Source organism: Homo sapiens, chromosome 1 (genome assembly GCF_000001405.40).
Source record: "Homo sapiens chromosome 1, GRCh38.p14 Primary Assembly".
Lineage (NCBI taxonomy): Eukaryota > Metazoa > Chordata > Mammalia > Primates > Hominidae > Homo > Homo sapiens.
Window position 1 is genome coordinate 177699456 of NC_000001.11, and position 25686 is coordinate 177725141.

General features: G+C 39.8%; 1 long non-coding RNA gene across 1 annotated transcript; it reads left to right on the forward strand.

Moving 5' to 3' along the window:
* Positions 1-1068: 1068 nt before the first annotated feature.
* LINC01741 (long intergenic non-protein coding RNA 1741) lies at positions 1069-10875 on the forward strand. The gene is made up of 4 exons (NR_110722.1): positions 1069-1907; positions 2004-2119; positions 9502-9670; positions 10334-10875. It is a non-coding gene; the product is annotated as a long intergenic non-protein coding RNA 1741 (long non-coding RNA).
* The last annotated feature ends 14811 nt before the right edge of the window (positions 10876-25686 follow it).

Here is a 25686-nt window from a genome sequence, read left to right on the forward strand (position 1 = left end):
TTTCATATCAGATAAAATAAGCTTTCAAGATAGAAAGTAACATTAAAGAAGGACACTTCAAAATGATAAATGGATCATCTTATCAAGAAGACATAACAATCATCAATGTGGCATGTGCCTAATAATAAGCTACAACCAAATAAAGCAAACATTTACAGAATTAAAAGAAACAGACAATTCTGCAATCATAGCAGGAGATTTTAGCACCCATCTTCCAAAAATTTATAGAATGCTTAGACAAAAATCAGTAAAGACATAGTGATCCAAACCATACTTTCAACCACCTTAAACTACAACTGTAGAATATACATTTTTCAGGTGTACATGATATTTTCATCAAGATAGACCATATGCTGGATCTCAACAGTTTTAATAAATGTAAAAAGACTGAAAAAATAATACTCAGCACTCTGTGGAACCTGAAATGAGATCAGGTGATTTAGTTTTGTTCTCTGCTATATCTGTTGATTAGTTAAGGTTCTCCAGAGAAATACGTGAATGTGTGTGTAGGTGTGTGTGTGTGTGCATACACATACATAAACATATATAATATCTATCATATACCATCATATATACCACATACATATGTAAAATATACTTATTATATATATATATATATATGTGAGTTTTATTTTAAGGAATTAGCTCATGCAATGGTGAAGACTGGCAAATTAGAAATCTGTGGGACAAATTAACAGAATGAAAACTCAAGTAGAAGTTTCAAGCTGTAGTTTTGAAGCAGAATTTCTTCTCTGGGAAACCTGTTTTTGCTCTTAACATTGTCAACTGATAAACGAAATTATCAAGTATAATCTCCTTTACTTGAAGTAAACTGAACATAGATATCAACTACATATACAAAATACTTTCACGAGAATACTTAGATTAGTATTTCAGTAAGTAGTCGGGTACCATAGCCTAGCCAATTGACACATGAAATTAATTCATCAAAATCTCCAAAGCCAATAACATTGACTGATAGTTTTCAAAAACATTTGTTGACTAATAAATAGATAATTATGAGATCACAAGACCAAAATATGAAGGCATAAAACCACCTTAGAGACTATCTGTGTCAGAATTCTAAAGCTCAGAGATTCTCCATGCTGCATCCCCCATACCATCTATATCTAAGGCTGGGGTGTAAAGTAAGAAATGGTTTTCAACAAGCATGCTAGGGCCACCACAACTAATCCCACTGCCCTGCAAGCATCTCCAGATGATTTTGATGCAGTTGGTCCACAGGTCACAGCCTGAAAAACTCTAAGACCGTCAGCTGATCAACTACAATAATATTCTCTCCAGCATTCCAGACAATGGCTTTCCAACCCCTTTAAGGACTGGGGTTTACTACCTACTCAAGCAGTCCATTTGTCTTCAGTCAGATGACTATTAAAAAGTTCTTTCATATACTGGGTCCAAACAGGACTTTCTGAACTTTCTGGCTATTGTTACCAGTTCTCTTTTGTGCAGCTCAGAGTATTTCGAGGCCAATGGCCTGAGCTACAAGTGATTGAAAGGGCAACTTAGGTTCAGGTGATTCCTCGAAAGATTTGGTCCACATGACTGCTCACTCACCGGTAAAAGGGCTTAATGTAAGCCAGCTATATTGCTGACTGTGCAAGGATGTGGGGTTGTCTGAGAATAGCCTTCAATGGCACTGACTGACTAGGAGAGCCTCAAGAATACTTTATAAAGCCCATGGTTGCGCAGTGAATCTGGGAACCTGATAAGAAAATAGGTTGCTACGGTTCTGCTTATTAGAGTGGACTCCTAGACCTAATGAAAATGCTAAATTATAAATCCAGAATAAGAACTGGAATAAAGTTCTCTAGAATTACTAGAAACAGCAAAAGAAAACTGGATGAAGACAATATTGGAGCTTTTCTACTTTAGCTGACAAGCTGGTATATGGGGACTCTTTGATACTCTAAGGAAATTATTTAATAATTCATGAATTCATTCATTTACTAAATATTAATTACATGCTTATTGTGTACCAGGCACTGTACTGGATACTGAGAAAAAAGTGGTAAACAAAACTAACATGGTCTCTACTCTCCTGGAATTAAAAGTCTAGTGAGGGATGACACAGTAAACCATAAAGAAAATATTAAACGTAAGTATGTTATAAAATATTAAGTGTGTAATAAAAGAAACAAACAAGGTGTGTTTGTATAGAGAATAACAAGGCAGGCCTTGGTGTTCGGGGGGAGGTTTTTCTAAGGGGATAGAGCTTATATTAGATCGGAGGACAAACAAATTTATGGAGTACTCTAGGCACAGCCCTATGGAACAACATGTGCAAAGGCTGAGAGGCAGGAAAGGCCTTTGCACACACAAGAACCTGAAAGGATGCCCATGTAGTGGGAGCATGAGTGAAAGGAGACTGTGGTTCAAGATGAGGCTGCAGAGATCAACAGGACTCTGCAGTCACAGTAAATATTTGAGGAGCAAATCATTAAAGGACAAAAAGCAGACCATGGCACAATTCAGTTCATGTTTAAGGGAATTGGTCTGCCCATAGTTAGAGAATGAATAGAAGGGGGCAAGATTAGAAGTAAATCATTTAATAAGTAATTGCCCAAATGGCAAATATAGGTCATAAGAATTAGGGTAGCTGGGGGAGAATTTGAAAAAAGCAGACTGATTCAAAATACAGTATACACAGGAGTTTGACTTAGTATATTCCGTGAGGGAAGGAACAATGTGTGTTTTGCTTAGCAGACTTATCTTCAGTTCTTAGTACAGTGTTTGGTGTGTAAATAGCAATATAGTTGCTCCTCATTATTTACAGACTCCATATTTATGAATTTGCTTATTCCCTAAAATTTGTAACCCCAAAATCAATGCTTATGGCACTTTTGCCATTGTTTGCAGAAATGCACTTGCAAAAACAGGTGAAGAGTTTGAGTCATGGACGTTCCTGGCTGAGGTCAAACAAGAGCACATTCTGCCTTCTTGTTTCTAGTTTTATATTTTCAGCAAGTGTCCTTTTTGCTGCCTGGTTAGTGCCACGTTTGGTCATATTTTTGTGCTTTGTGTTGGTGCTTTTGCTGTACAAAATGCCCCCCAGGCCTAGTGCTGAAGTGCTATGTAGTGTTCCTGAGTGCAAGAAAGCTGTGGTGTGACTTATGGAGAAAATTTGTGTGTTAGGTGAGCCTCATTCCAGTATGAGCCAGTGCTGTTGGCTGTGAATTCAATATTAACGAATCAACTATATATACACATATATATTCAAGAAGGTGTCTTTAAACAGAAACACACCTAAAATGTATTGGTCAGTCGATGTAAACATTGTAACCAGAGGCTCAAAGGCACCTAACCTGTGTTTTCTTTAAGAGCAATGGTTCAGTATTCGCTAAATCAGTGTTCACAGTGACTTTATAGAATATAATTGCCACACACAATGAACATCAACTCTAACTGCTAATTGAACAAATGAATTAATGTGATAGATGTGGCAGATTTTGTCAATGAACTGAGGGCTTTAGACTTGAGCAACTGCATTGAAGGTGCCATCATCTATGGAGACATGATATTCTGGGAAAGAAACAGGTTTGGGAGGAAAAGAGAAAATGCTATTTTTCCATGTTTCTTTAGAGACGCCTATGAGATATCCAAGTAGAGATGTCAAGTAGCCAGTTAGATAGATATGAGTCTGAATCTCAGAGGATATTTCTGGACTGGAGACATAAATTGGTAAGTCATCAGCATACAGATGATGCTTAAAGCCACAGGGGATAGAGGAGGTCACCTAGGAAATAAGCGTAGGGAGAGATGAAAACAGGACCCAGAACTAAGCCCTAGAGCACACCCACACTCAGAGAGCCAGCATAGAGGACCCAGCAAAGGAGACTGCAGGTGAGAAGAGGACAGCCAGGAAATGTGTGGAGCCACAGAAGCCAAGGGAGGCCTGTGCTGAGAATAACAGCCTTCAGCCTTAGAGAATGTGGCTGAGAGGCTATGGAAGATAAGGCTGAAAGTTGCCCTTGGATGGTACAATGAAATTGTCAGTGACCTTGGGCTACTACTTTTAGGGCAAAAGAGTGAACTAAGGAATGATTGAGAAGATGAGAAAATAAAAGCAGCACACTTTGACAACTTCTAGAAGAAGTTTTATGTTGAAGGGTAGCAGAGAATTGAGTCATTGGCTGGAGAGAGACAAGGAGTCATGAGAAGGTTTTGCTTTTTGATTTTAACTTGGAAAATACTACCACATGCGTTCAAACTGAGGAATAATGCAGTAAGAAAGGGGGAGATTAATCATGATGAAGAGAGAAGAAAATTAGACTTTACAGTAGTAAGAAAGAATGGGATCCTGGACATGTTTGAAGGAACTAGTCTTTGTTAAGAGGAGAGACCACCACAGTTGAATTCATGTGTGCTCAAGTACACACACACACACACACACACACACACACACACAGTATCTCTGCAACTGATAACATAAGCTAAGTGTAAGACTCTTCAAGTATTCCTATTACCTTCTTGATTTTAACCAAAGTTCCAACAGGTACAGATATTTTTGAAACTCGTTTCTAGTCTTCCTACATTTGCATTTCTTTTTTCTCATGTTTCAATCTTCAGACTTTTGCCCTTGATTTTGTATGTACTTGCCCTTCTGGGGTTCTTCTAAGTCTCTTTCTGACTCTCAACTCTTTCTAGAGACTTATTTTCTGTTTCCTTCTCCCAGCTTCTAAAAATGTGAGTCATGTCTTTTTTCCACCAGAAGTGCTGCCTGAGGCTAAAAAACTGATCTGGTATAGCTCCAGCCCTCCTGCCTCACTGCCCCTAATGGGCAAAGTCCCCTGGGCAGCCATGACCCCCAGGAAGTGCAAGGCTCAGCATAGCAAGGGCTACAGTTTCATTAGAAACTGTTTCCGGCAGTTTTATGCTCGTCAATTTTCACTGATGTTCAAAATTTTTTTGCAGCATGACTGTGCTAACATTTTTAGGTTTCCATAGCCCAGGGATATCCTCTCTTGATCTACCACAACACATGACAACCATAGACCTGCTGTGTGCTCTGCTAGCCATTTTAAACACACTGCCTCATTTATTCTTCATAACACCCTGTGAAGCAGGTATCATCATTCCCATTTTATGGATTAGGAAAGTGAGACTCAGGAGTCACATGGCTAATAAGCCAGGAGACCCAGATTTGGACTCATGTAAAACTCCAAAACCTGAAGCCTTTCCTTTTTGGCCAGGATGCAAAGTGGCAGCAGAGTTCACTTGTCACATCCTTTCGGCCGCCACTTAATTCCACGTATGTTCCAGCTCCTCAAGTCTACAGAGACTGCCTTGGAGAAAAATACCAACTCAGATCAACTCATGACCCACCTAGTTCAATGCCTGACCCAGTAAATGACTGCCTGTGGCCCCCACCAGAGGCCCTGGTTGTACTTCTGCTATCTGAGAAACCATGGCACACTGCTACTTTAACCCTCATGTTCAATCTGAATAATAGAAATAAGAGGAAGGTAGAACTTTTTTTTAAGTCGCTGGCAAATTCTTTGGCAGGTGGTGAAAACTAATGTTATAGAAGAGGCCCAGTCTAAGTAAAAATTAGTAATTTTAATTATGAGCTTCAGAGCAAGGAAAATATAACACAACCATGAGTGGACAGGGGGCTGCTGTGGGTTAGAACACAGCCTGCTCAAGCACACATGCAGGTGGTAGAGAGGGATGTCCTGCTGTTCTAGATGCTAAAAAAAAGAGACCAGCAAGACCCAAGGCACGAAGAGAAGACAGCTTTACACAAAGGAGAGAAGCAGAAGAGAGCTCTGGAGTAAGACAGGGACCCTGAGAATGAACTGGGGTGTTCACGAGGACACTCAGCTTGCTGGTGGTGTGAGCCAGGTTGAAGCAGCAGCCAGATAGATACAAGATAAAGGAAATAAGAGAAAGGAAACATACAGAAGCAGACTAAGAAGGGGTGATAACAAATATTAGAGCAGGTACCAATCTTATTCTACTGATAACTTTCTTTTTTAATCAGGAATATAGAGCTAGGTTGCTATGAATCAATTTATACTTTATGCTATTTTAGTAAAGAGGGCTCTGACTTTTTTTTAAAGCAGATGTGATTTGATTATGTGCTAATCTCTGCCCAATTAATAGCATTATTCAGACTGTCTCCAAAGTGCATCAAAACAACTAGTTAAAAAGGAAGAATGAAGTCAAATCCATTTTTGGCACCAGGTATATATGATAGGAGCATACCTGGAAACACAAGTTCGTAACCTCTTTGTGACATTCAAACCAACTTGTGTGTGTAGGCACAGCCCCCGAACAATGTGACAGCCAGATCAGATTTTCAAATCCAGTTTCTCCCAGACCCTTCATCCTCCACAGAGGCAAAAGAAGATTTGGTGGTAAAGTTTGTCTAATTATTGGCAAAAAATGTGGGAGTAAAAACCCACACCTCGATCCAAATGCTTCATCGCCCTTTCAAACAAGTTTTCTGAACAAAGAATCTTATAATGTGCAGCTGTACAAGGCAGAGGGGGTAAGAGCAATACAAAACTCACAAAACTATGGGCACTGCACACATGCACACACACGTGTGATGCATTAAACAAGCATGTACACATACACAGAGCACACGGCATGTCAGGGCACGACTGTGCTAATGCAGGGTTTGGGGAAGAAGTTAAATCTAACCCTAGGAAATGAAATGTTTAAAATTCCTTAATTTTAAAGGTTCTTGATATAATTGTTAATGAAATCACATGTGCCACAGCAAGATCATTATCATAACTATTACTGCTAATATTAATAACAAAAACTGGTATTTGCATAACACTTTACATAAATTACATCACTGGTCTTTGAAAGGTATTTTGATAACATTTCAAACAAATAACCAAGGGACAGGGAACAAAAAGAACAAGGCTTTATATCAGGGGCTCCCAGGCTTTCTGTCACCAAGGACCTCCTCTATTCTTTTTCCTCTAAGGTTTCCTATTTTTAATGTTTTTGTCTCATTGACAACCTTTATTAAAGAATTCTCCATTCCCCTATGTTTATTCATCAAAGAACAATCAGTATGCAATAATCCGCATTACCTCACTGAGCTAATATAATTCCACGAACTTGGTGTTTGAGTTACCCTCTGAAGCCTTATTATCAGTAAATCCATTTCAGTTCAGTTTTTAAATATACAGAACATTTCTTTAAGGTCTCCGCTACCTCCTTAAAGGACTTCTAGGAGTCCTAGGGCCCTGGGCAATAAAGCACTAATTGAAATCTCAAATAATATTTTTTTGTTTTTGTTTTTGAGATGGAGTCTCACTCTGTTGCCCAGACTGGAGTGCAGTGGTGCCATCTCAGCTCACTGCAACCTCTGCTTCCTGGGTTCAAGTGATTCTCCTGCCTCAGCCTCCTGAGTAGCTGGGATTACAGGTGTATGCCACCGTGTCCAGCTGATTTTTGTATTTTTAGTAGAGATGGGGTTTCACCATGTTGCCCAGGCTGGTCTCGAACTCCAACCTCAAGTAATTGGCCTGCCTCAGCCTCCCAATCAAATAATTTTTTTTCCATTATTTTTAAATTCAGTATGTGCTAATAAAGGAAGAGTATTTAAATTTTTTTAAAGAGAACTTGGAAGTCTCTTTAGTCAGACATCACAAAGCAATTATTTGAGGGCACACACACACAAGAAGGAAGGCAAACAACTAACAACTGCCAACACCATTGCCTCACCAGAAACACGTTCCATGAGCATGGCAAAGCCACCGCAAGGGCTATCCAGAAAATTATGTGTGATGGCTCTGATGTCAATGTGCCTGGTGTCCCATCCTGGCTGTCACTTGTTAGCTAAATGCATGGAAAAGAATCTAAACTTCTCGGTGCCTCAATTTTTTTCACCTGGAACATAGGATCATAATAGGCCGACTTGTTTAGAGCTATGTGGGACTTCTATGAGTAAATATACATAAAGAGCTTAACACAGTGCCTGACACATGACAAGTGAGCAATACATTTTAGCTATTACTATCATCATAAGTACCTAGTTGCAGGACCTGTGGCTGGTTCCTAACCTTTTTCAAGCCCACAAAAAGAAAATCTGAACATCCATGAAATCTGTTTTTGTTGAATCTCTTATTCCCAAAATTGTTAGAATGTGCATAGCTGCTTTGATCAAATCTGAAGTAGCATGCATAGAAGTTAGGGATGAAGGCTATGAAGGCAGAATTCCCTTGGTTCAATAAACTTCTCTAGCTTTTACTAGCTAAGAAGAGCTGGATATAACCTCGGGTTTATCCATCAGTTTCCCCATTGATAAATGGGGATCATAACTAGCTCCTGGAGCAATGGAGATTTAATGAGATCATATATATAAAGTTATTAAGCACTTTATATAGTAAACCCCCTCCCTCTAAAACATTAGCTACCATGATTACTATCTGTTAACATACGAAAGTAATATTTGCTGAATCTTGTCCCTCATGCAAAATATAACACTTTTGAAATCCAAATACATTTTCATTTACTAAGGCAAAGCACTTAGATAAACTGACCTTGAAATGCAAAGCTAAAAAAAAGTTGCTAGATAATTTGTTCATCTGTCTTTTCCCCTTGCACACATTAACTGTGGCTTGATCTTGAACTATGTCAATATGCATCAACAGGGTCAACAGTTTTAACTAAGCTGTGTAGGTATTTCACTGGTTGCTTCAGCTAAAGGACTGATTAGTAATCAATTAGTAGCTGGTCAATTTAGTCAAAAGCATCAAACTAGTTCCCCACCCGCCCCTAATGTTTCTGTTATGTCCTAGGTCCTGCTAGAGGCCTATGGAGAGATGAAATTCATTGCAAAAGTGGTCATCCACCCCCTTGCTCCAGAGCTATCCCTAAGACTGTTCAGGTAGCTCACATGTCCAGTCCCTCCCCAGATCCCCTTCTGCCAAATTAAAATCTCTCCAAGTCAGAACTGACAGGGAGGGCCTTTTCCTTTCTTTAACCTGAAGCCTTGCTTCATGTTTCTATGGGAAAAACCAAACTCTACCTAAATAATAAAAAGTGGGAAAGTTTCCCCAGGAAGAGTGCCTCTTCCGCACCTTGATTAGCCAAGCAAAATGTAGACATAAAATGCAATTGCTTTTTTTTCCCAGATGCTAAAAATGTCAGCCTTGATTTACCCCAACACTCTGACTGACTCACTGCAGACATAAATCCTTCACGCCCAATGCAATCATTTTTTGACCTGTTCAGTGGCGGAGAGAGGGAGGGCTTCACATTTATCTTCCTGGTGCCAGCACTGCGATCCCAATAACTTTTCCTTCATCTTCCCCTTATAAGGAGCAAGAGCCAGAGAAGTAAAGGCAAAAACGTGCATGTTCATTATATTTTTTCTGAGATATGATGCAACAAGTGTTATTTTTTAAATGATTGAGAAGGAAGGGGAAGAGAAGAATAAAAAGTATTTTTATAGATCTATTTCCTCTCACCTGAAACACAACCTCACTTTGTCTCTGCTTCATCCATGATTAGGAAAATGCAGGAGTACCTTCCATTTGGGAAACAGCTGTCTTTCTACTATAAGGAGAAACCTGGTGCTTTTCTGCCTGGTACTGTCCCAGCACGGCACATGTGATATTCCTTGGATTGAGAGCAGAGTCATGATAATAGCCACTGCTGGTGGATGACCCAACACAGCCAGGTGGTCCATTGGTTTGGAAGTGTAGCCTCCAAAACTTTGGCATGTGAAGCACAACCCATTGAACAAACAGCTACCAGTTGGTTAATAGGAAAGACACAGGGTCTGACCTTGCGTCTGCCCCTTACTGAGAGCAGCTTTGGGCCAATCACTTCTTTCTCCATAATTAGGTCCCTGAATCTTTAAAATGGGGCCATGCATGCCTGTCCCTCACCTCTTTCTTCATAAGGACCTTGTATTTTTTAAATGCTTTGAGCTCTTCTGAAGCAGAGAGAGGTGCACATTTATAGTACTGTTTTTCCTGGTCTCCATGGTTATGAATCAGAAAAATGATGCCCATTTTTCCCCATAAGAAATGGTCTTTTCCCTTCCAAATTCACGAGGTGTGCAGAAGAGTCACTTCAACCTCCCACAGTGGCAGTGTGGCATTCTCCCTTCAGCCACTTGTCCATACCTCTCCCTGAGGATATCATGGCCACAAGTCCCTTTCCAAGGTACCACTTCTCTTTATTCCTGTCCCTTGCAAATGAGGTTTTTTGATCATCTTCCCCTTGCATTATGTTTCTAGACTAGAAGTTTCTTAATGGTAGAGAGTGTATTCCTATGACTGTCATATACTAGGTATGCAATATTGAGTTAATCAAATGGACTTTTGTCTTCCTGCAGCCTCAGTCATCTCACCCTTGGCAAAACAATCTTTCTAGAGCCAAATACTTGAGGGATCTCCCTTGGCACATAGCTTCCTGCATATCCTGACTCTCTTCTGGCTGTTCTCTTCCAACCTACAAAGATGTAAGGTGAATTTAATTCAGGACCACTGGAGAAGAGCAGAAGCAGATCCCTCCTATCTCTCCATGACCTCCTCAGCAAGCAGGCCATGTCCTCCAGCCCACTCCCTGTCCCACTGCCTGCCCATACATACTCCAGGAGAACAGTACCTGTTTACGGTCTCTTGGCTCTCTGGAGTGTGGAGTGCTCTCAGAGTTGAGAGGGGAAGACACTGGCATGCCATGAGCAGGACTGCCTTGGAGCCAACTCACAGCTGAGCTTCCTACCTGGTCTTCCAGGGAAGGTGGAGCTTCAAGAAGCTTGACCTCCTCATAGCACCAGCGTAAAGGGCAGTTAACTGTTTGGGCATCAAAATAGGCATTGTGTGAGTTGTTGTGTATCCCCAGACCAACGTGACAATAGAAACAAATTATTCCTAAGGTTGGGAAAGGTGACTGAGACTCATCAATTTCAAGCATATCTCTATGGTTGGGGTAGCCCTAACCAAAGACCCCTGCCTCATGTAGAGTGGGAGAAAGCCTTTTAGCAGCTCTGTAGGCTTTAGCTCAAATAATACCCCCATCCAAGCTCCATTCTGCACATCGAAGAGAAAAGGAAATAACTTAACACCAGCACTTTAAACGTTATGAGAACTGTGTGATATGCTCTGCTAGCCAGCCTCTGGCCTTGGAATCCATACATTATTTAATGGGAAGGAAGACACACCTTAAATGAGCCATAACAATTGCTTAAGGGAGATGGGAGTGGGGGGAGAGGAAGGATTGTGTGTGTATTTTTTTAATTTCTCAGACCATACCCATTAGTTTTGTTTCTTATTTAGGATACAGCAATAATCATGCTAATATTTTACAGCCGGGCTTCACTCTTTAGTCATTACTTTAATCAAACCCATCAGCGAACGAAGGAACACGTTACCAGGTGGGAATAACTGCTACCGCTCGCTGTTAATTACTTTGCATTTTACAGCAATCAGCAGCAAGGGCTGAGATCATAATAAATTCATGACTTATGGGCCCATAAAATCATTACCGTAGGAAAATATGTTTTACCGGGGATTCGATGGGCCGCTGCTCAGACAGAGATTTCTTGAAGGAAATGACACCCATGAAATTAAACTGATCCTTGCAGTCAGCAGAAATGTAAATGTACAAAGAGAGCAAAATTTTACCATGGGAGAAAGGGGCTGGCGGGAGCGGGACTGGGTGCTGGCTGAGTGTGGAGGGGGCATGGCCATGGGAGGGGCGGGGCCAATAGGTACCGCTGGGAAGAGGATGCAGAAGGAAGAGGCTCCCAGGCAGGAAAAGCCTTTAGAGAGAGCAGGGAAGGAAAGAGGCTCAGTGGCCTGTGGGTGATTCAGAGGTCCAGACGTCTGGGAGAGCAGTCGTTTTACTATATCATAGTCTCTAACCTCTCCCAGCTTTAGTTATTTCAGCCAGCTTTTTCCCATTGCCTTGGGTACTGTGACTTAGGTGGTCTCAGAGGCCCTGAGGATGTTGATGTTAAAGGCACAGGGACAAGTCCATAAATCAGCCCTGCCAGAGTCCAAGAAGGGAGGGAGGTTCACTCCTGTGTTTTCCCCACTGTTTTCAAGCAACCTAAGTAGGCTTTTTGATGGATAGCTGCACTTCTTCACTGAGGCAACCCTGCCCCTGGCTTCCAACGCCCACTGCCACCCCACACACATCTCCAGCCTCCTTGTGTAGGTCTCTGTGTCCTTAAAGGCCATCTGTGGACTATGGGAAATGCTCTCCAAGGAGAATACTTAAAACCCTGGTGTTTGTTTTATTGGGAGGTTTCTCTATCTTCAAATTTCTCCCGGGATGCATTCATGCCATTTGTTTAGAAGAAACTGTTTCCTTTTCCATTGCTTCTTCCAATTACACTAGACAAACACAGACCCTTATCTGGTGTTATTTAAGCATGAAATTATAACAGATCCTTTTAAATGCTAAAGCACTAAAAATAAGTCATTTTATCAAGACACACCAGTTCTAGATCTAGTAGCTCATTAATTTCTGTAAATCAGACAAGATGAAATTCAAACAAAATCTGAGAGCTTCCAGTGAAGGAGCATTCATTCTTTCTGAGATGATCACCATCCTTGTTCACCATGATCATTATTGTTCATGTTTCTAGGGGGTAGTGAGGGCTGTCCTCTCAACTTGGAAGACCATCCCAGCTGAGAGGAATCAGTGTCACCAGAAGGACCACAAGGAGACAAACATGAGTTGGAATCCTTCTTTTACCACTTCCTAGTGGTGGGTCTTAGGGAATTTACTTAACTTCCTGGACCTCAGTTATATATCCTGTAAAACAGAGAAAATTATACCTACCTTTAAATAAAGAATTGCTGTGGAAATGAAATGAGCTTACTATTCACATGTAGCACAAAATAAAACACTAAGCAGGCTTTCTGATGAAGTTGATTCACTTATTTGAAATTCTCTCCTCCACCACACCCCAAGGTCAGGCAAGGCAAAATAGCCAGCCTCCTAAAGGAAGTCAGAGAGGCTGGGGAGCTGGCTAGCACGAGTTGGCCCCTGAGAACCTTGCACAGCAGCAGCCTGTTAAAAGAGATGATGAACGAATGGTGTGGGGTGTTTGGCCACATTCCCACCTGTCACCATGACTTTCAGGAAAATGTACTGCACTTCTCGGTTCTTGGGAGATTCTGAGCCTCATATAAGCCTAATTTGCTCCAGAAGCAAGAGGCAGGGACAGAAGGCACCAGCCTCACTGGGATCACCAGGCTATGATGTCAAATTTTCCCCATTATGGTCTCTTTCTCTTGCATTCACTTTTTTGAAACTGTGGATAATAAACGGAAGGAGGGAGCCCCCTTGTCATTATTTGCCCCATCATCCTGCCCCCTCCAACAAAGGGTTGGCCCCAGACATCATCTCACCGCAGCGGCAGTACTGGCAGCAAAGTTTAGCAAGGGAGCTTGCTCTCCATAAACTATTAACTGCTTTCACTGTCAATGAAAGCAAAACTGACCTGCCTCCCTTGCCTTGTTTCTTCCCCCAGCCCCCATCCCAGTTCACTACCTCAGCACTAGGGCAAGAGAAACAGCTGAGGAGCTCTGAACACAATTAATCATTTTTAAGCAACAAACCAACAAATGCAATAACCCACCAACTTTTCATCTCTCAGGAGAGCAGAGTTTCAATATCATTTTGGATCACAAGTGAAATAAGTTAGATGGATGCTGACATTTTAGCCATGTCTGTGTCCTTGATAAGTTGAATAAGCAAGCCCCTTACAATGAGATGAAATAAAATGAGGGGAGATTTAGGGGTGTATGGGGTTTTCCCCTCATTTAAAATTTCTGAAGCCATGTTGGAGCAGTGGAAAGCAGAAAAGTACCAGAGTCAGCAAAGACAGGTTTCAATCCCAGCTCTGTCATGTACGAGTTCCTTGACTTTGGGCGAGTGCTTTAACCCCCCTGATCCTCAGTTTCCCCATCTGAATTATTGAGATTATGCATCTACCTTTCATGGTTGTTGTAAAAGATAAAATAATGTTTATAAAACATCTGTAACAGGGTAAATAGTCAACAAATGGTTGTGGTTATTACTAGATTAGCACCTTGTTACTGAAAAACCTCCAAGGAGCTACTGTAATGAGTTTGAGTGAGGATTCTAACCTGTGTGATAAAACCCCAAAATGCTTTGTGCTACAAAACCCAAATACACAATGCCAGAATATCTATACCAGTTAGAATCCTTTGGCAACACAAGTAGAATACACTTATTCTAGACAACTCCCATAGAAAATGATTGTGAAAATGAATAACAGTTAGCTTAGTCATTCAACTTTACATCTCAACTATCATTAGATGTCATTAGGAGGGATTTTAAAAGGGGATATCCTACCTTACCATTGTTGAGTGGATAAAGGAAAATTCAAGGCCAAGATAAAGACTAATTTAAGCTCCATGTCTGAAGACACTTATGCTTTAAATATATCAAAACACCTGGACTCCCCAAAAATGTTTATTCATAAAACTTACATAATAGCACAGACTAATTATTCTTCAGATGTCTTACATATGTGCCAGTTTCTGTTTTCTATGTGCTGTAACATTTTATAGCAGATCAGTAAATACATAGGCTGATACTAATTTTTTAACAGAAAAAACTTTCAGTTATTGATATTAGTTTTGAGATAATGGTAATTTTTCCTTTGAATTAGGAAAGATAAATAATGTTATCAGCACCTCTTAGGTGTCCTGCACTGTTCTAGGCATTTACACACCTTATCACAATTGGTTCTAGCAACAACCTACAAGGTATGTAGATTTATTCCCATTTCATAAAGAAGGAAGTTGGGGTTCAGATTTATTGCTTAGGTCACCCAGCTAGAGATGGAGGTGGGCACCTGCTCCTGAATGACTACTGGGTAAATTATGAAATTAGGGCAAAAATAAGTTATTTGAAACCAATGAGAATAAAGACCCAAGGTACCAGAATCTCTGGGACACAGCTAAAGAAGTGTTTAGAGGGAAATTTATAGCACTAAATGCCCACATCAGAAAGTAGAAAAGATCCAAAACAGACACCCTAAAATCACAATTAAAAGAACTAGAGAAGCAAGAGCAAACAAACTCACAAGCTAGCAGAAGACAAGAAATAACTAAGATTAGAGCAGAATTGAAGGGGATAGAGACACTGAAAACCCTTAAAAAAAATCAATGAATCCAGGAGCTGGTTTTTTGAAAAGATTAACAAAATAGATAGACCATGAGCCATACTAATAAAGAAGAAAAGGGTGAAGAATAAAATAGACACAATAAAAAATGATAAAGGGGAGATCACCACTGATCCCTCAGAAATAGAAAATACCATCAGAGAATACTATGAACACCTCTACATAAATAAACTAGAAAATCTAGAAGAAATGGATAAATTCCTGGACACATACACCTTCCCGAGACTAAACCAGGAAGAAGTCGAATCCCTGAATAGAGCAATAACAAGTTCTGAAATTGAGGCAGTAATTAATAGCCTACCAACCAAAAAGTGCCCAGGACCAGATGGAGTCACAGCTGAATTCTACCAGAGGTAGAAAGAGGAGCTGGTACCATTCCTTCTGAAACTATTCCAAACAACACAAAAAGAGGGACTCCTCCCTAATTCAATTTATGAGGCCAGCATCATCCTGATACCAAAACCTAGCAGAGACACAACAGAAAAAGAAAATTTCAGGCCAATATCCCTGATGAACATCAATGAGAAAATCCTCAATAAAATACTGGCAAACTGAATCCAGCAGCACATCAGAAAGCTTATCCACCAGGATCAAGTCAGCTTCATCCCTAGGATGCAAGGCTGGTTCCACATACACAAATCAATAAATGTAATCCATCACATAAACAGAACCAACGACAAAAACTGCATGATTATCTCAATAGAGGCAGAAAGGGTCTTCAATAAAATTCAACACCCTTTCATGCTAAAAACTCTCAATAAACTGGGTATTGATGGAATATATCTCAAAATAATAAGAGCTATTTATGACAAAACCATAGCCAATATCATGCTGAATGGGCAAAAGCTGGAAGCATTCCCTTTGAAAACTGGCAAGACAAGGATGCCCTCTCTCACCTCTCCTATTCAACATAGTATTGGAAGTTCCGGCCAGGGAAATTGGGCAAGAGAAAGAAAGAAAGGGTATTCAAATAGGAAGAGAGGAAGTCGAATTGTCTCTGTTTGCAGATGACATGATTGTATATTTAGAAAACTCCATTGTCTCAGCCCAAAATCTCCTTAAGCTCATAAGCAACTTCAGCAAAGTCTCAGGATACAAACTCAATATGCAGAAATCACAAGCATTCCTATACACCAATAATAGAGACACAAATCATGAGTGAACTCCCATTCACAATTGCTACAAAGAAAATAAAATACCTAGGAATATGACTTTCAAGGGAGGTGAAGGACCTCTTCAAGGAGAACTGCAAACCACTGCTCAAGGAAATAAGAGAGGACACAAACAAATGGAAAAACATCCCATGCTCATGGATAGGAAGAATCAATATTGTGAAAATGGCCATACAGCCCAAAGTAATTTATAGATTCAATGCTCTTCCCATCAAGCTACCATTGACTTTCTTCACAGAACTAGAAAAAACTACTTTAAATTTCATACGGAACCAAAAAAGAGCCTGTATAGCCAAGACAATCGTAAACAAAAAGAACAAAGCTGGAGGCATCATGCTACCTGATTTAAAACTATACTACAAGGCTACAGTGACCAAAACAGCATGGTAATGGTACCAAAACAGATATATAGACCAATGGAACAGAATAGAGTACTCAGAAATAACACCACACATCTACAACCATCTGATCTTAGACAAATCTGACAAAACAAGAAATGGGGAAGGGATCCCTATTTAATAAATGGTGCTGGGAAAGCTGGCTAGCCATGTGCAGAAAATTGAAACTGGACCCCTTCCTTACACCTTATACAAAAATTAACTCAAGATGGATTAAAGACTTAAATGTTAGACCTAAAACTGTAAAAACCCTAGAAGAAAATCTAGGCAATACCATTCAGGACATAGGCATGGTCAAAGACTTCATGACTAAAACACCGAAAGCAATTGAAACAAAAGCCAAAATTGACAAATGGGATCTAATTAAACTAAAGAGCTTCTGCACAGCAAAAGAAACTATCATCAGAGTGAACAGGCAACCTATAGAATGGGAGAAAATGTTTGCAATCTATCTGTCTGATAAAGATCTAATATAAAGAATCTACAAGGAACTTAAACAAATTTACAAGAAAAAAACAACCCCATCAAAGAGTGGACAAAGGATATGAATAGACATGTCTCAGAAGAAGACATTTATGCATCCAACAAACATATGAAAAAAGAAGTTCATCATCACTGGTCATTAGAGAAACGCAAATCAAAACCGTAATGAGATACCATCTCACGCCAGTTAGAATGACGATCATTATAAAGTCAGGAAAAAACAGATACTAGAGAGGATGCAGAGAAATAGGAATGCTTTTACACTGTTGGTGGGAATGTAAATTAATTCAACCATTGTGGAAGACAGTGTGGTGATTCCTCATGGATCTAGAACCAGAAATACCATTTGACCCAGCAATCCCATTACTGGGTATATACCCAAAGGATTATAAATCATTCTACTTTAAAGACACATGCACACGTATGTTTATCACAGCACTATTTGCAATAGCAAAGGCTTGGAACCAACCCAAATGCTTATCAATGATAGACTGGATAAAGAAAATGTGGCACATATAAACCATGGAATACTATGCAGCCATAAAAAAGAATGAGTTCATGTCCTTTGCAGGGACATGGATGAAGCTGGAAACCATCATTCTCAGCAAACTAACACAGGAACAGAAAACCAAACAACACAGATTCTCACTCATAAGTGGGAGTTGAACAATGAGAACACATGGACACAGGGAGGGGAATATCACACACAGGGCCTATTGGGGGGCAGGGGGCAAGAGGAGGGATAGCATTAGGACAAATACCTAATGCATGTGGGGCTTAAAACCTAGATGATGGGTTGATGGGTGCAGCAAACCACCATGGCACATGTGTACCTGTGTAACAAATCTGCATGCTCTGTGTATGTATCCCAGAACTTAAAGTATAATAATAAAAAAAGAAGAAATCACAAGATAAAAAATTAAAAAAAAAATAGAGATGGAGGTGGGCTTTGAAGCCAGATTTATCTAAAGATCAAACTGCCTTACTCCAGGGAAAAAGCTACATGGGGGCATATGTGCCCTGGAAGGAAAACAAAAATATTGCTTGGGACATAATTATACTAAACAATTATTTGTTGCTTATCTGAAATTCAAATTTAACTGGGCACACTATATTTTATCTGGCAACCTTATTTTATGTTTTGAAATTAGGTTTTGTATACCTTTTCCTATATTTTTTATTTTTATTTCACTGTTCTTTTTGTTAAATTAAGTAAAAATGAATGCATAGTTCTTAATGTACAAAACACTAATGTGGTATTTCTCTGGCTTTGTTTTTTTTTTGTTACTGATCCTAAGCTCCAAAGCAGACCACACTGCTATCTCAGAGTCCAAAAAGGAAAAAACAAAGCTTTGCTCTCTTTTCTTGGAGACAGCTGTTTCATATTTCAAATACAATTTTTTAAAAATCAACTATTGTGACCTTTATATTTGAAAGGATCATTACTTATGTTGCCATTCATCAGGACTTTAAGGAGAGGATATTTGAGTCTCTACCCTGCTCACAAAATAAGGAGGTGATGATCAAAACCAAAGAGTTTTCAGTTTTGGACAAAATGGTGAACTAACACAGACTGCTGGTTCCCCAAACTGAGCTTGGAGAAAATGACAGAGGAAGACATGAAATCCATGAAATATGAAATAATAACTTAAAAAGAAACTCTCCCCTAAAACTCCTATTGACGGTGGGGGAAGGGAAGGGATGATAGCAAACAGAATTGACTGTGAATTTGTGGCACTTGGGGCTTTCCATCCTAAGAGATACCCTCTTCAGTCTCCTTCAACTTGCCAGGACCAACAGACTACTGTTTGACCAGTGTCTCCTCATTACCAAACAGAGTAGCTGATATCCTTAAGAAAATCAAAGCTCACAGTCAAATACTTAAGTACCTGAAGAATAAAACTACCTCCAAAGAAAAATAATGAACTTGATGACATAAAATATATAAAGCACAATTATTGGAACAGAAAGATCAAGAACTTAGAATAAGTGTAACAAATATACGTTTGAGGATAAATATACTATCAATACAAAACAAGAAAAATGAAAGAAAAACAAACATGATAAAGTATTAGAAATAAAAATTTAATAATGGAAATTTTAAAAAATAGGGTAAATAATAGGATGGATCCAGCTGAATGGGAAACTGATGAGCTGAAAGATCAGATTAAGAATGCCACAGGATCTATAGCGATAATCACTGGTTTTTGTCATTGGTTCTGTTTATGCGATGGATTACATTCATTGATTTGCATATGTTGAACCAGCCTTGCATCCCAGGGATGAAGCTGACTTGACTGTGGTGGATAAGCTTTTTAATGTGCTGCTGGATTCGGTTGCCAGTATTTTTTTTTTTTTTTTTTTTGAGATGAAGTCTCGCTCTCTTGCCCAGGCTGTAGCGCAGTGGTGCGGATCTCGGTTCACTGCAACCTCCACCTCCTGAGTTCAAGCAATTTTCCTGCCTCAGCTTCCTGAGTGAGTAGCTGGGATTACATGTGCCCACCACCAGGCCCAGCAAATTTTTGTATTTTTTTTAGTAGAGACGGGGTTTCACTGTATTGGCCAGGCTGGTCTCAAACTCCTGACCTCAGGTAATCCACCCCCCTTGGCCTCCCAAAGTGCTGGGATTACAGGCTTGAGCCACCATGCCTGGCCGGTTTGCTAGTATTTTATTCAGGACTTTTGCATTGATGTTCATCAGGGATATTTTCTTTTTTTGTTGTGTCTCTGCCAGGTTTTGGTATCAGGATGATGCTGGGGTCATAAAATGAATTAGGGAGGAGTACCTCTTTTTCTGTTGTTTGGAATAGTTTCAGAAGGAATGGTACCAGCTCCTCTTTGTACCTCTGGTAGAATTCGGCTGTGACTCCATCTGGTCCTGGGATTTTTTTGGTTGGTAGGCTATTAATTACTGCCTCAACTTTAGAACCTGTTATTGCTCTATTCAGGGATTTGACTTCTTCCTGGTTTAGTCTCAGGAAGGTGTATGTGTCCAGGAATTTATCCATTTTTTTTCTAGATTTTCTAGTTTATGTAGAGGTGTTTATAGTATTCTCTGATGGTATTTTGTATTTCTGTGGGATCAGTGGTAATCTCCCCTTTATCATTTTTTATTGTGTCTGTTTTACTCTTCTCCCTTTTCTTCTTTATTATTATGGCTAGTGGTCTATCTATTTTGTTAATCTTTTCAAAAAACCAGCTCCTGGATTCATTGATTTTTTGAAGGGTTTTTAGTGTCTCTGTCCCCTTCAGTTCTGCTCTGATCTTAAGTTACTTCTTGGCTTCTGCTAGCTTTTAAGTTTGTTTGCTCTTGCTTCTCTAGTTCTCTTAATTGTGATGTTAGGAGGTTGATTTTAGATTTTTCCTGCTTTCTCCCATGGGCATTTAGTGCTATAAGTTTCCCTCTAAACACTTCTTTACCTGTGTCCCAGAGATTCTGGTACATTGTGTCTTTGTTCTCATTGGTTTCAAAGAAATTCATTTCTGCCCTAATTTCGTTATTTACCCAGTAGTCTTCCAGGAGCAGGTTGTTCAGTTTCCATGTAGTTGTAAAGTTTTCAGTGAGTTTCTTAATCCTGAGTTCTAATTTGATTGCATTGTGGTCTGATAGACTGTTAATGATTTCCATTCTTTTGCATTTGTTGAGGAGTTTGACCTCCAATTATGTGGTCAATTTTAGAAGAAGTGCTATGTGATGCTGAGAAGAATGTATGTTCTATTGATTCAGGGTGGAGGGTTCTGTAGATGTCTATTAGTTCTGCTTGGTCCAGAGCTGAGTTCAAGTCCTGAATATCCTTGTTGATTTTCTGTCTCATTGATCTAATATTGACAGTGGGGTGTTAAAGTCTCCCACTATTATTGTGTGGGACTCTAAGTCTCTTTGTACATCTCTACAAACTTGCTTTATGAATCTGGGTGCTACTGTATTGGCTGCATATATATTTAGCATAGCTCTTCTTGTTGCATTGATCCCTTTACCATTACGTAATGGCCTTCTTTTCTTTTTTGATCTTTATTGGTTTAAAGTCTGTTTTATCAGAGACTAGGATTGCAACTCCTGCTTTTTTTTTTGCTTTCCATTTTCTTGGTAGATCTTCCTCCATCCCTTTATTTTGAGCCAATGTGTGTCTTTGCACATGAGATGGGTCTCCTAAATATAGCACACTGATGGATCTTGACTCTTTATCCAATTTGCCAGTCTGTGTATTTTAATTGGGGCATTTAGCCCATTTACATTTAAGTTTAATATTGTTATGTGGAATTCAATCCTGTCATTATGATGCTAGCTGGTTATTTTGCCCATTAGTTGATGCAGTTTCTTCATAGTGTTAATGGTCTTTACATTTTGGTATGTTTTTGCAGTGGCTGGTATTGGTTTTTCCTTTCCATATTTAGTGCTTCCTTCAGGAGCTCTTGTAAGGCAGGCCTGGTAGTGACAAAATCCCTCAGCATTTGCTTGTCTGTAAGGATTTTATTTCTCTTCACTTATGAAGCTTAGTTTGGCTGAATATGAAATTCTGGGTTGAAAATCCTTTTCTTTAAGAATGTTGAATATTGGCCCCCGCTGCCTTCTGGCTTGTAGGCTTTCTGCAGAGAAATCCACTGTTAGTCTAATGGGCTTCCCTTTGTGGGTAACCCGACCTTTCTTTCTGGCTGCCCTTAACATTTTTTCCTTCATTTCAACCTTGGTGAATCCGACGATTATGTGTCTTTGGGTTGCTCTTCTCAAGGAGTATCTTTATGACGTTCTCTATGTTTCCTGAATTTGAATGTTGGCCTGTCTTGCTACATTGGGGAAGTTCTCCTGGATAATATCCTGCAGAGTGTTTTACAACTTGTTTCCATTCTCCCCATCACTTTCAGGTACGCCAATGAAACATAGGTTTGGTCTTTTCACATAGCCCCATATTTCTTGGAGGCTTTGTTCATTCCTTTTTTTGCTTTTTTCTCTAATCTTGTCTTCACACTTTATTTCATACCCCAGCACAGCACAGCTGCTCCACAAAAGTGTGGCCATACTGCTTCTTTAAGCAGGTCCCCGATGCTGTTTCTCCTCACTGGGCAGAACCTCCTAACTAGGGCCTCCTGCCACACCCTTTGGTATTCTCTGGCCTACAAAAATTTGAAAACTCCCTGGCACAGAACTCTGAGAATGAGCAGTGGGCCACCATCTTTGCTGTCTGGGCAACTTAACAGTTCCAGCCTTCAGGCTATGGAGAATCCAAGCCAACCAGGGGTAGAAGTGGTACCCCAGACAGCAGAGAAGCCCCACAAAAACATTGCCAGACTACTTTTTTAAGTGAGTCCCTGAACCCATTCCTCATCACCAGGTGGAGCCTCCCAACCAGGGTCTCTGGCTACCCCCATCAATGTCCTCCAGCTGACAGAGATTTCAGGCCTACCTGAGACAGAGCTCCCAGAAGGAGGGGCAGGCCACCATCTTTGCTGTTTGGGTGACTTAGCTGTTCCAACCTTTGGGCTTCAGAGTATCCAAAGTGACCAGGGGCTGAAGTAGACCCTGAGTACAGCAAAGCTGCTATATAAAAACTTGGCCAGACTACTTTTATATGTGGGTCCCCAATCTCATTCCTCCTGATTGGGTGGGACCCTCCTGGGGTCATCAGCCACCTCCTACAGGTTTTTTCAGGCCAGAAAGAAGTCCATACCTCCTTGGGATGGAGCTCTCAGAGGAAGAGGCAGACTGCCATCTTTCCTGTTTTGCAGCCTTCATTGGTGATTCCTCCAGGTACTAAAAATTCTGAGGCAACTAGAGATTGGAGCAGACCCCTGGCATACCACAGTAGCCTGACAGAAAAATGGCCAGACTGTTAAATAAAATATCCAAAGGTTAGCAACCTCAAAGACTGAAGGCAGATAAGCCTACAGAGATGAGAAAGAATCAGCATAAGAACACTGAAAATTCAAAAAGCCAGAGTGCCCTCTTTCCTCCAAATGACCACATCACCTCTCCAGCAAGGGTTCAGAACTGGGCTGAGGCTGAGATGGCTGAAATGACAGAAATAGAATTCAGAATATGAATAGAAATGAAGTTCACTGAGCTAAAGGACTGTGTTGTAACCCAGTGCAAGGAAGCTAAAAATTATGATAAAACATTGCAAGAGATGACAGGCAAAATGGCCAGTACAGAGAATGTAACTGACCCAATAAAGCTGAAAAACAGATGACAAGAATTTTATAATGCAATCCCGAGTTTTAACAACAGAATAGACCAAGAGTGGAAAGAATCTCAGAGCAGAAGACTGCCTTTCTGAAATAAGACAAACAGATAAGAGTAGAGAAAAAAGAATAAAACAGAGTGAACAAAACCTCCAAGAAATATGGGATTATGTAAAGAGACTGAATCTGTGACTGGTATACCTGAAAGAGATGGGGAGAATAAAACCAATTTGGAAAACATATTTCAGGATATCATCCATGAGAACTTCCCCAGCCTAGCTGGAGAGGCTAACATTCAAATTCAGAAAATGCAAAGAGAGAACCCCAGTAAGATACTCCATGAGAAGATCATCTCCAAGATACATAATCATCAGATTCTCAGAGGTGGAAATGAAAGAAAAAATTTTAAAGGCAGCTACAGAGAAAAGCCAGGTCACCTATAAAGGGAAGCCCATTAGACTAACAAAGGACCTCTCAGCTGAAATCTTACAAGCCAGAAGAGATTGGGGGCCAATATTCAACATTCTTAAAGAAAAGAAATTCCAACTCAGAATTTCATATCTGGCCAAACTAAGCTTCATAAGTGAAGGAGAAATAAGACAATTTTTTGACAAGCAAATACTGAGGGAATTTGTTACCACAAGATGTGCCTTACAAGAGCCCCTGAAGGAAGCACTAAATATGGAAAGGGAAAATTGTTACCAGCCACTACAAAAACACACTAAAGTACACAGACCAGTGACACTATAAAGCAACTGCATAAAAAAGTCTTTAAAATAACCAGCTAACATCATGAAGGCAGGATCAAAATCACATATATTAATACTAACCTTAAATGTAGGTGGGCTAAATGCCCCAATTTAAAGACACAGAGTTGCAAGCTTGATAAAGAACCAAGACCCATTGATATGCTGTCTTCAAGAGACCTATCTCACATGCAGTGACACACACAAACTCAAAATAAAGGGATGGAGGAAAATCTACCAAGCAAATGGGGGACAGAAAAAAGCAAGGGTTGCAATCCTAGTTTCTGACAAAATAGACTTTAAACCAATAAGATCATAAGAGACAAGGGCATTACATAATGGTAAAGGGTTCAATTCAACAAGAAGATCTAACTATCCTAAATATATATGTACCCAGATTCATAAAGCAAGTTTTTTAAGACCTTCAAAGATACAGACTCCCACACAATAACAGTGAGAGACTTTAACACCCCACTGACAATATTAGACAGATCTTTGAGACAGAAAATTAACAAAGATATTCATGACCTGATCAAATGGACCTGATAGAACTCTCCACTCAAAAACAATAGAATATACATTCTTCTCATTGACACAACATGGCATTTACTCTAAAATCAATCACATAATTGGAAGTAAAACATTCCACAGCAAATATAAGAGAACTGAAATCATAACAAACAGTCTCTTGGACCACAAAACAATCAAATTAGAAATAAAGACTAAGAAATTCTCTCAAAAAGCCCTACTTGCAAACTGAATCCAGCAGCACATCAAAAGCTAATTCACCACGATCAAGTAGGCTTCATCTCCAGGATGCAAGTGTGTTCAACAAATCAATAAATATGATTCATCACATAAACAGAATGAAAGACAAAAACCACATGATTATCTAAATAGAAGCAAAAAAGGCTTTTTATAAAATTCAACACTCCTTCATATTAAACGCTCTCATTAAATTGGGTATGGAGGAACATACCTCAAAATAATAACAGCCATATATGACAAACCCACAGCCAATATCATACTGAATGGTCAAATGCTGGAAGCATTCCCCTTGAAAACTGGCATAATACAAGGATGCCCTCTCTCACCACTCCTATTCAACATAGTATTGGAAGTTCTGGCCAGGGAAATCAGGCAAGAGAAAGTAATAAAGGGCATCCAAATAGAAAGAGAGGAAGTCAAACTATCACTGTTTGCAGATGACATGATCCTATATCTAGAAAACTTCATAGACTCAGCTCAAAACCTTCTTAAGCTGATAAATAACTTCAGCAAAGTCTCAGAATACAAAATCAATGTGCAAAAATCACTAGCATTCCCATACACCAACAACAGTCAAGCCGAGAGCCAAACCAGGAATGAACTCCCATGCACAATTGCCACCAAAAGAATAAAATACCTAGGAATGAAACTAACAAGGGAGATGAAAGGGCTCTTTAGGGAGACCTACAAAACATCGTGCAAAAAAATCACAGATGACACACAAAAAAAATTCCATGCTTAGATAGGAAGAATCAATATTGTGAAAATGGCCATAC